The sequence below is a fragment of the Homo sapiens genome, chromosome 12 (assembly GCF_000001405.40).
Source record: "Homo sapiens chromosome 12, GRCh38.p14 Primary Assembly".
Lineage (NCBI taxonomy): Eukaryota > Metazoa > Chordata > Mammalia > Primates > Hominidae > Homo > Homo sapiens.
In genome coordinates, this window is record NC_000012.12 from 61,910,871 (window position 1) to 61,923,523 (window position 12,653).

Here is a 12,653-nt window from a genome sequence, read left to right on the forward strand (position 1 = left end):
CTTCAAAGCTCTAACACTGCCAATGATTTGGACAACTCTATTTTAGGAGGCATTCATTTCAAAGATCAGATGTTTGACTGTTTCTTTGTTTTTAGGACTGGCAAAAATAAGAAGTAATTTGCCTGCTCGTTCCCTGCATGGCTGAAGAGTTACATCATGTACAGATGTTCACGAAGGTTGTGTTAATTGGTATTTTGTCCTCACAATTTTCAGAAGAAAATAGTCATATGCACTTTACCTTACACTTTCTAGGCCAATTATTTAAGATCAGATTGAAAAGCATTTTGGGGTTTAGATTCTACATTTTACCCCAAAAAAATAGCAATTTACCATAATTAGCACTCATAATCACTCAGCAGCAGGAGGATCCCTTCCCTGATTCTTTACTCTGTACTCCTACCTTCCCTTCACCCCTCTAGTTTCAGAATCTGGGCAACATTTCAAGCAAATAAGAATTGGGATTGGCCCAATCCTTCGAAAATTCCAGTCAACAAACCTGTCATTTATCTTACACTCATTATTCCCGTATCAAGCCACTTCCATGGAACATGAAGCTAAATTTGTGTTTAATTCTTTCCATGTATAAGTTAAACTATGACATTTTGAACTCACACAAAACTTTAAATTAGTTTCACCTAGGCTACAAAGCTAAATTCCACAAGGAATTCATTGTCAGGCTGAGGAACAGGCACTGAAGATCACCCCAAATCTTTATAAAAATTCATACTTCTCATGCATTTAATAAGCAGAGTTTTCTGTCCTAGTTTGTTGTCTGGGGCAGAGCAAAAACAAAACCAGGTTTGGTACCAGAGAAGCGGAAAGGAAGCATCAGGTCTGGACAGAGAGTCACAAATAGAATTGAGGGTGAAATCAGGATTGATTACAGGGAATCTGAATGAGAGACACCAGGAGCTTGAGAAGGTGAAACATCACAGTAATAGCCAGGAAACAAGAATCAAGGGTCAGATGAAGGAAGTGAGCAATCAAAACACAAGCAAAACAGAAACACAAGAAAAGATGTAGAGAACAAGAACCAAACAAGTGCCAAACAGAAGCTGATGCATCATCCTCCTAAGCTAACAGTTCTCATCCATCCCTTACTGAGGAAGAACTTAAAATTTTTACCAAACTCCCAGTGGAACCTAATGATACTGATAGTTGCAATTTATCAAGTGCCTGTGTGCTAAGCACTTTACATGTTTTATGTCACTTAAACTTCAGAACAACTCTGTAGTGTATTTATTAATTCCCTATTTTATGCATGAGAATTCCAAGGTTCAGCAAGGTTAAGTAACATCCTTAATGTGACCCAGCTAATAAGAACCAGGGTGGGGATTCAAAGTGCTCATTTATCTATAACATGCTATTTATGCTGAAGTTTACACATAGAAAAATGCATGCAGTTCTCATTCTATATTTGTGCTGTTCAATGTGGTTACTATTAGCTATATGTGGATATTGACACTTGAGTTGTGACTAGAGACACATGTTGAAATTATAATATTGGAGATATATCGAGTGAAATAAAATACATTGTGAAAATTAGTTTCATCTATTTTATTTTTAAAACATGCCTATTAGAAAATACAAATATATGTGGCTCATCTTATATTTTTCATCAGTCAGCACTATTCTAGAATAGAAGTTAAGTCATAACGAATCATTTTTTAAAAAATTTAGAACCTCCAAAGTTTTAGTAGTAGAAAAACAATATTCATGAGAGAGAAGAAAGCCAACCAAATGCCCAGACATTGTTGCTCGTTTCTCTTTTCTCAGTGGAATCACTTTGCTTACCACTGCCACCATCGTGTCAGCATCCAAAAGTGGAAACACACTCCTGTTCACTTCCCCCTGGTAAAGCTAAAAAACTGTTTGCCTCTTCAAAAAGATTTTGTGAACAACTGTGATAAAACACAGGTGAATCAAAGAAAATTCACAGAACATTAAAATAGGCCTCATTACAAGCCAGGGGTTTCAATTCTGATCTTAGTTAGCTTGTGTAAGAGCTTGTAAGTTTCATCTTTTCTCAGAAAAGCAGCAGCCCTCTAGGTCTGGGTCATAGAGTTAAAAATGTATAGAATCCACACTGGGTATATAAATGAGAGAAGAAGGTCTGGTGAAAACCATAAGGAGTAGTAATGAGTATGGTAAATAGATGATTTACCTATTTATCTATCTAAAGACATCACACTTGAAATTTTTTTAAACACTCTACAATAATTGCCAATGGGGTAACCAAGAAAAATCTTCCCTCTCAGTTTTGAGGCTATAGGTTTTCAATTCACTAAAATGAGAGTTAAGTTAAGAAACAACAGAAAATAAATACATAGGGAAAGAAGGTGTTAAGAAAAAAGAATACAGAGGGAAAGAAGGTGTTAGAAAGAAAATTGACCATAAAATGGCCCTGATTACTATACACAGTGCCCTTCCTATAAGACTCAAGGAATCTGCATCTTCACCTGACATGTATAACATAAAGCCTCTAACATTTGTCAAAATATTTTATGGATATGTGTTATGATACCCAATAATCCCTGAAGGTAACTTAAATTCAACAGCTTTTAATAACACAGAAGGAAAGTGGAATTGATATTGGAGAAGAAACTTACTCCAAGTTGTGTTATTTACAATAGCACTTTGACAGTCTGACTATGATTCTGGCCTCAGTCTATGGGTCATGTTCCTCTCTATTTTATAGGCTAGAAGCCAGGAGGGTGTGAATCACAGGAAACAAGTAGATAGGGATCATGATTCCTGACTTCCGAGTATCTCTAACATTCCTAATTAATATTTGTTGTGCAACTTTGCTTTCTTGGTAATTTAATTACTGAGAAAATGAATGGGGTCAGCAATAATGAGAGCTAATGTCCTTCATGAAGGAAACCCACAACCTGGTCCAAGAAGAACATATGCTTCAAAGGCAATATTCCCAGCCTGAAGAAGATTCCAGGACAGTCAGACGACAGGAGACACTGGGTGTGATATATTCACAATCCTTCAACAGATCACAACACTTGAGTTTCAAGGGTTACAGTTTAGCTATATTCAGAATAAAGGTGACAAAAGAAACAATCAGTTGAATATGAATTTTTGGAAACGGTTTTGTGATAAAGTAACAGAAACAGGGCTTAAAGGGGAAAACCCCAGCTATATTGCCATACCGACACCACCCCAATTGACCTAACCCAGGGTGCTTAACTTTGCTGGAGTTAAACTAGATTTGAGGACACCAGGAAATCCACCCTAATCACTATATTATCTCCCCACACTTGTAGGTGATGCCCTAAGGATGAAGATCCATGGGTAGAATTTCAGTCAGGATAAGGAGAGGACAGTGCTAAAAGTTCAACCAGGAAGGCATCACAGTCAAACTTCACTTACATCATAATTTTTTCATGAAACATCCTTCTCTCAGGATCTAATCATGAATTTCTACTTAGGGTCTAAAGTTAGCCTCACACCAGAAAAAGGAAGAGACCCAAAATATGGGTTGCACCTTCACCACACTGCTCCCACTGTGGCTTGCTTAGAAGTCGAATGGTATGGAAGTTCAGGCAATCACCTTGAATGCCTATAAGGTTGGAAATGCATTCTGTAGAAAGCCTGGTTTTTTGAAACTAAGAGTTACTGTAAACCTAATTAAAATGACTGGTGTTATTCCAGTTAAAGTCTCTCTTGGCCCATCAATGAATAAAAACTACCTAACAGCAAATGTTAGACATGGAGACTTTCCTTCAGAAGAGAGTTCCAAAAATTACTCTCATTGCTAGATAGTAGTACCTGACATTACGTCCTCAAAATTGTATCCTAAAATTATTACATATTATTTATTCATTCATTTCACACTCATTTCAGCTGTGTTTTGTGCCAGGCAAGACATCTGGAGTTGACAAAAAATTAGACAGATAAGATTTTTATTCTCTAAATAGCTTCCTTTCTAATTGGAAAGATAGGCTTAAAAAAAACCTAAAGACTTATTTTATATATGTAGTAGAAGAGAATGATGTGTTGGCCGGGCACAGTGGCTCCTGCCTGTAATCCCAGCACTTTGGGAAGCTAAGGCAGGCAGATAACCTGAGGTCAGGAGTTCAAGACCAGGCTGGCCAACATGGTGAAACTCTGTCTACTAAAAATACAAAAATTAGTTGGGCTTGGTGGTGGACACCTGTAATCCTAGCTACCCAGGAGGCTGAGGCAGGAGAATTGCTTGAACCCAGGAGGTGGAGGTTGTGGTGAGCCAAGATCGTGCCACTGCTCTCCAGCCCGGGCAACAGAGCGAGACTCCATCTCAAAATAAAAATTAAATAAAAGGAAAGAAAGTGATGTGGCGTAGTCTAGACATGACTTGTAACTTTCTTTACAATTCTCTTTCGATTAATAGAGTTTAAGGTTTGGAAGGATCCACAAAAATACGTAATCCATATATTCATCCAATCATCTCTACAAGCTCCCCACCAAGGGGCCATCCCATATATTCCAGAAATCCTTTGATGACAAGGAACACTCTTTCTCCAATTTATTGGTACAAACTCTTTTTCCCAGTAGATCCTGGTTCTGAGCCATGTGTATTAGCCAAAGTTCTCAAGAGAAACTGAACCAATAAGCTATATAGAGAGATATTTAAAAACGGGGATTTATTATGAGTATTGGCTTACTCAGTCATAGCGGCCAAGAGGTCTCACAATATGTCATCTGAAAGCTGAAGAACTAGGAACTAGTGTTGTAATTCAGTCTGAGTCCAAAGGCCTGAGAAGCAGGGAAGCCAATTGTGTAACTCTCAGTCCAAGGCCAAAGGTCTGAGAACTGTGAGAGGGGAAGTTTAAGTCCCAGACTCCGAAAGCCTGATAGTCTGCAGCTCTGATGTCTGAGGAGATGGATGTCCCAGCTCAAGAAGAGAGAGCACATCTGCCCTTCCTTCACCTTTTTGTTCTATCCAGGTCCTCAATGGATTGGATGATGCCCATCCACATTGGTGAGCATGAGTCTGCTTTACTCAGTCTACCAATCCCAATTCTAATCTCTTCCAGAAACAGCCTCACAGACATACCCAGAAACAATGTTTTACCAACTAGCTCAGTGTGACACATAAAATCAACCATCACACCATGTAAATCAAGTCAGAGTTTCCATCCATAAAAGGTATTTTCAAATACTAGAGGACATGGGTTACTTTGTCCCTGATTGATCTAAGCCAAGCCTAGGATCTTCAGCCTTTCGTCATAAGAAATGTCATGAAGCCCTTTGTCACTGAGGTCATTATTTTCTTCAATAGGTTCCAGTTGTCTGTGTACCTCTTGAAATTTGAGATCCAAGACTAAACAAAATTAAGAAGAGAATATATGTAATAAGAGCTAAGAAATAATTCTTGGGGTCTGATAGATCTGTGTTACTACCTAAGCTCTAAAACTGCAGCTGACTTTCTGCAAGTTAATTAACCTCTCTGAGTCTATGTTTCCTCAACTAAACTTCCACATAATAGAGATCAGAATGTTTCATTACACTCCTCGACGGTTGATTGTGAGGATCAAATGTGACAGAGCATGTATAGTACTTGGTACAGTAACCGACATACAGAAAAGGGTTGATAAATGGTCATCATTGTTCTATTGTTAATGTTTTTACTCTCCATCGTTAATCTGACTGCCCCAAACTAACACATCACTGTTAAGTAATCTTTGAAGTTGTTTAAAGTTTATTTGCAGACCCTCTATTGCCTGTTACGATTTTTCACCTTTTGGTTACAATTCCATGCTTTTGCTTTTTCATGTTTGATTTCTTGGCTTAGTAACTCACCTACCTTTGGCTTTTGCTTTCATCCCACTTTTATTTAGAGAAAAAATTCTGAGTAGAAATACCTGAGCCACGAGTCAGAGTTAATCTGGAGTGTAGATTCAAGATAAATATCTTATTCCCATCTGATAGAATCACAGTGAAAATATCAAATTAATCTAACATGCTCTCCATTTTTTTCTTGAAAAATAATTAAGGAAGGATATATTTCAGGTTTTATGCTTCCTTATCCAAATTATGTACAGATACTTCATGGAAATGTATTCTTAATAGCTACATTAACTATGATAAGTTCACTCACATCATTGTCATTCATGTCTAATTAACCTAAATGCCCAGCTGGGAGTAGTAAGAACTCATACACGGTAAGGAGAGTGAGTCATGTGAGATCTCCCAGCCCCCAATCCTGCCATTTGAATATACAAGGATAGGAGAGGGAAATGAAGATGACTGTTCAAGATCAAGAGGGATAACTGTCAGGAGAGCCTGGCAGGACTGCCTTGACAGCACAGATCTGAAGTTGTTGAGCAGGGAAACTTTTTTTGTTTTTTAAAGGAAAGCATTTGTGAAATAATAAAATACTAAGAAAAAGTACAAAACTGTCCCTATGAATCCAAGTCTACATAGCATTTTGAAAGACATATATAAAATAATTTTTCATAATTTTTACCTGTCAGAAATTAAATATTTAGTTCCCTTTAATAATAAGTTCACAGTTATATCCAGCTCTTTGTGTAGTATTCCTAACAACTATGCATCTAGGCTCTGCTTGATTATGATCACTGATGAGAGGCTTACCACCTCACAAGGCAACACATTCCATTGATTAGTTACACATTTCTTTCGTTTATTTGATTGAACTCTGCACCCTTCATAACTTCCCCTCCCGTGCCCACCCAATAATTAGCCTGTGCTCTCTCAACTGACATATCAGGAAGCTTGGCAGGCGGATATTGAAGGGAAGGAGTTGGTGGCTATTTGAGGGCAGTGCATTTTTTCATGTTACCTGTTAAAGAAGCGTGGTCACTTATTCCTACTAGAAGGAAAGCAGAAAGAATGAGAATGTATGTTACCTGGGTAAAGGTCTACCAAAGTCACACAACTCCTACATCAGCCACAGATCTTATGGCCCAAGAAGCCACATAGTAAAAAAAGTACTTTGGCCAACAGGCTGGCAGAGCCTAACCCCATGAAACAGAATCAGTAATTAGGTTCTGGAAACAAAGAATGAGACTTTATTCAGGAGCGCTGTGAATCTTATGAATGTATAAAGTTCTAGAGAGGCAGTAGTGGATAGCTAGGGATTCTCAAGTTACATGTTCATGTGTTGGGTATAAGAACCATGCTTATTTATTTTTTTTTTCATTTGTCTGGGTACATAGTGGATGTATATATCCATGGGTTACATGACATATTTTGATACAGGCATGCAATATGTAATAATCACATGAGGGTAAACAGGACATCCATCACCTCAAGCATTTATTCTTTGTGTTTCAAACAATCAAATCATACTCTTTTAGTTATCTTAAAATGAACAATTAAATTATCATTTACTCTAGTCCTCCCTAACAAATACTAGGTCTTATTTATTGTTTTTAACTACTTTTTGTTCTCATTAACCATCCCCCCTTTTCCCCACCCGCACACCCCAACTACCCTTCCCAGCCTCAGGTAACCATTCTTCTATTTCCATGAGTTCAATTGTTTTAATTTTTAGATACCACAAATAAGTGAGAAAATGTGAAGTTTGTCTTTCTATGCCTAGCTTATTTCTCTTGACATAATGACCTCCAGTTCCATCTACATTGTTGCAAATGACAGGATCTCATTATTTCTTATGACTGAATGGTACTCCATTGTGTATGTGTACATTTTCTTTATCTACTCATCTGTTGATGGACACTTAGGTTGTTTCCAAATTGTGGCTATTGTGAATAGTGCTGCCATAAACATGGCAGTACAGATGTCTCTTTGATATATTGACTACCTTTATTTTGGGTATATACCTAGGAATGGGATTGCTGGATCATATGGTAGTTCTATTTTTAGTTTTTTTGAGGAACCTCCAAAATGAAGAACCATGCTTATTTAAAATGCAGGCTGTTGGCTTCCATCCTTGGAGATTCTAATTCAGTGCCTCTGGTGCAGGGCCCAGGAGTCTTTACATTTAGCAAGGGCAACAGGTAATTCTGAGGTTCTTTGGGAAATACTGGTGCCATATTTAAAAGCTCTGGTGTCAGAAAGACCTGAATTAATACCTGGCCTTTGCCTGTGCTAGCCGTATTTCCTCTTTAGTAAAATGGAGATGAGAACCATAGTTCCAATCTCTTTGGGTTGTTGCAAGGATTAAATAAGAAAGTGTGTGTAAGTAAAGCATATAGCATACTGCCAACAGTGGCCTGTTAAGTAATTGTAGCAATTATTTTTGTTTTTCATTTTTACAATGTACTGATTTCAACTTTCCCCCAAGGAATTATTTACATTAATGACAACCTTTCCTTCTTGGCCTTCCCCTATTTCTGATTTTGTTTAAAATTCATCATATATATTTTGGAAATAGAGCATAGAGGAATCAACCAAAAGACTTGCTAATTTAGTATTCATTATGTCTTTCACATCCAACCCTTTCCAGTTCCAACTTCCCGCCCCTGGCCACTACCCCCTGCATTCTCACTGCCATTTCTCTTGCTTAGTCCCTCTCATATGTTACTCTTTTTGCCTAGAAAACCCTTCCAATTCTCTTTCTGAATATCTGTTTCACAGATGGAAGCTTCAGTGATTTTGTGGAAGTTTATAGTACAAGGATTGGGAAATTAGTCAATTTAGGTAAAATACACACACCCAAGTTCATGGCTCCTAAGTTCCATGTCTATATCCAGAGCCCTGTAAGCCACTATCTATCTAGCTGATCCAAGGTAACTTAGTGTGAAACACTCAGATCAACCATCAATACAATCTTCCTGATCATTGTATTTTATTGTACTGTATATCTATTTTATATTTTATTATATATTATATACGTTTATTTTATACTTATGTTTTATTTCATTATCTGTTATTATATTGTATCACTGTATTTTTAGTTTAATTGTATAATTGTCAATTTCTACATTTATCTCATTTAATCACTGAAGCTAAATTTCTAATAAGAGTAAGAAGGAAGTAGAAAATGGTGCAATGAATCATAGTTAATCACTCAACCAAAAACAGTAAGTTCTGATTCAATTGCCTAATTCAGGCAAATGCATTTTTGCCTCGTCAGTATAATATCTTAAATTTTTCACTTCACTTTCTTGATGTGAAGCTAAAATTTCTCAGTCTCATTACCAATATGCAATTATTATATGCAAATTTTAAAAATAAAGTAATGACTCTAATGGCAATTTTTGAAGTACTTGAAACATCAAACACTGCAAATAAAATATTTATAGTGTCAATATAAATATAACTGATGTAACAAATCAGCACTAACTTAGATGGTAAATGAGACAGTGACTGTGAAAGAATATTCACTTCTTCAATTGACAGTTAAATAAATCATAAATAAGTATACTATTGTAAGAGATCAGCTTATGCCACCCCAAAATATTCCACTTTGGCATAAAGAGGCAAATGAGAATTAATAGATGCAGAAAGAAGCCATCTTGGAGCATCCTTTATCTCACTAAAAGCAGAAACTTGAAACTTCTGGGAAATGAGGACTGCCACAAATCTCCTCTCCCAGGGAAGTTTTAAGGCCATGAAAAAGATGGAAAGTTGGCACCAAATGGATCAGCAAACAAACCTTACTAAAATAAACCTTATCTTCCATTAGTTTGCCCCATATATTTACCTTCCCACAGTTTGCTGCTTCTAAAAGCCTAAAACCCTTTTCCTTTGTCATGTCACTTTTCTACAAATGTATTGTTCCTTGTTACGATGATATATAGACACAAGTTCTAGCCAGTTCTCTGAGTAAGTCTTCACTGTTTCTTGCACACGTATGTGTGCTGTGCATGTTCATAAACTCTGTTTTTTGCTTGTTAACCTTCCTTCTGTCAGTTTAATTTCAAGATCCCTAGCCAAACAACCTAGGAGGGTAATGGAAAAAAAAATTCCTCCCCTATGCTACATACAATGTACAATTTTCTAATAATATAATAAATAAACTATATAGAATATCATATGGTAATGCTAAGATGCTCTGGGGAGAAAAAAAAAAGGAACAAGTAGGGAGTTGTCAAAGAAGCCCTTATGGAAGAGATTCAGACTTAAAGAAGATGAGTGAGTACCCAAGCGAATATTTGGGAAAAAATTCTCCCTGGATGAACCACTGAAAACGCCAAGAGGTTAGAGTGCGATTGGTGGGTTCAGAGGCCAGTGTGGCTGGAGTAGAACAGAAGAGAAAAGCAGTGGGAACCAACATCAGAAAGAAAATGGTAGGCCAAGACATAATGGGAATGATTGGCCATTATGAGGAATTGGCTTTGACTCTGAATGGCAAAGAGAACCACAGAAGTGTTAAAGCAGAAGTATGACAAGATAAGACTTAGGTTTTAATTAATCATCCTGCCAGGTACATTGAGATATTCTGTGGGGTAGGAAGAGTGCAAGTGAGCCACTTAGGAGACGATGAACTAACCCAGGTAAGAGATATTGCTGGCTTAGGCCAGAGTGGTAGCAGTGGAAGTGATGAGAAGTGTCCACTTACAGGATGTAAGGTGAGGTAGAGCAAGAAGACTCCCTGATAGATTGAATTCTGTTTTTAAGAAATAGAAGATTCAAGGAGGACCTTAAAATTTTGGCGTTTGTGCAATGGAAGAATAGAATTGCCCCTGTGTGAAATGGAAAAGGCTATGGCTGAAACAGGAGACTTTTTGTTGTTTGGTGTGGTGTGGTGGGGTATGGTGTGGTGTGGTGGGGTATGATTTGGTATGGGTTTTTTTGTGTGCAGTGGGATCAAGATTTCCATTTTGTACACATCAGATTTGAGCTGTCTATTAATTCTGCAATTAGAATTGTTCAATAAAGTAACTGGATACATAAATGAGGAATTGAAAATAATCTGAATACAAACACTAGTTTGCATACTGATGTTATTTAAAGGCATATAACTACACAGTATGACTATGCATCAATGTATACAGAAAAGACAACAGGAATAAATAATGAACTCAGGGTCTCACTAACATTAAGATGTGAGGGAAAAGAGGAGGAACCAGTAAATGACAATGAGACAAAAACGAGGTGGTACAAAAATTGAGAATGTGGTGTCCTTCAAGTCAAATAAAGAAAGTTTATCAAAAAGAAGTATGTGATTAACTATTTCAAATGCTGTTAATAGATCAAGTAAAATGAGGACTAAGAACTGAATGTTCGATTTAGCAATGCAGAAGTTTCAGTCGTCTTGACAAGAGCAAGTTTAGAGAAGAAGTACCACAAAGACCAGATTCGATTTTGTGTAGAAGAGGAGAGCAAGTGCTGCAAAATAATGGAGCAGTTGGAAGGAGCAGTCAAAAGAACTTTAAAAAAATTGAAGAAACAATGCATGTTTGTATACTACTGAAAATGATCCAATAAAAAGTAAATAACTGAAGATGAAAGGAAAAGGCAGAGTCACTGAAGTTATCTCCTCGGGGTGAAAGGAAATAGGATCCAATGCTGGGCAAGATGGCTGAATAGGAACAGCTCCGGTCTGCAGCTCCCAGCGAGACCAACACAGAAGGTGGGTGATTTCTGCATTTCCAACTGAGGTACCCAGTTCATCTCATTAGGACTGGTTAAAAAGTGGGTGCAGCCTATGGAGGGCGAGCAGGAGCAGGGTAGGGTCACCTCACCCAAGAAGTGCAAGGGGTCGGGGAACCCCCTCCCCTAGCCAAGGGAAACAGTGAAGGACTGTGCTGTGAGGGACGGTGCTATCCGGACCAGAAACTACTTTTCCCATGGTCTTTGCAACCCGCAGACCAGGAGATTCCCTTGGGTGCCAACACCACCAGGGCCCTGGGTTTCAAGCACAAAACAGGGCGACCATTTGGGCAGACACCTAGCTAGCTGCAGGAGTTTCTTTTCTTACCCCAGTGGCACCTGGAACACCAGAGAGACAGAACCATTCACTCCCATGGAAAGGGAGATGAAGCCAGGGAGCTGAGTGGTCTAGCTCAGCAGATCCACCCCCATGGAGCCCAGCAAGCTAAGATCCACTGGCTTGAAATTCTCGCTGCCAACACAGCAATCTGAAGTCAACCTGGGACGCTCGAGCTTGGTGGGGAGAGGGGCATCTACTATTCCCGAGGCTTCAGTAGGGGATCTTCCCCGACAGCGTAAACAAAGCCACCAGGAAGTTCAAACAGGGTGCAAAACCCACCATGCAGCAAAGCCACTGTAGCCACACTGCTTCTTTAGATTCCTCCTCTCTGGGCAGGGCATCTCTGAAAGAAAGGCAGCAGCCCCAGTCAGGGGCATATAGATAAAACTCTCACCTCCCTGGGATACAGCACCTGGGGGAAGAGGCGGCTGTAGGTGCAGCTTCAGCAGATGTTCCTGCCTGTCGGCTCTAAAGAGAGCAGTAGATCTCCCAGCACAAAGCTGAAGATCTGTTAAGCAACAGACTGCCTCCTCAAGTGAGTCCCTGATCCCCATACTTCCTGACTGGGAGACACCTCCCAGCAGGGGTCAACAAATACCTCATGCAGGAGAGCTCTGGCTGGCATATGGCAGGTCCCCCTCTGGGATGAAAGTTCGAGAGGAAGGAACAGGTAGCAATCTTTGCTGTTCTGCAGCCTCTGCTGGTGATATCCAGGAAAACAGTCTCTGGAGTGGACCTCCAGCAAACTCCAGCAGACCTGCAGCAGAGGTGCCTGACTGCTAGAAGGAAAACTAAC

At 38.8% G+C, this 12,653-nt stretch overlaps 1 protein-coding gene across 5 annotated transcripts in view; it reads right to left on the reverse strand.

Moving 5' to 3' along the window:
* TAFA2 (TAFA chemokine like family member 2) overlaps positions 1 to 12,653 on the reverse strand; it is a 551,762-nt gene that overhangs the window by 202,598 nt on the left and 336,511 nt on the right. The gene's annotated exons all lie outside the window — the stretch shown is intronic.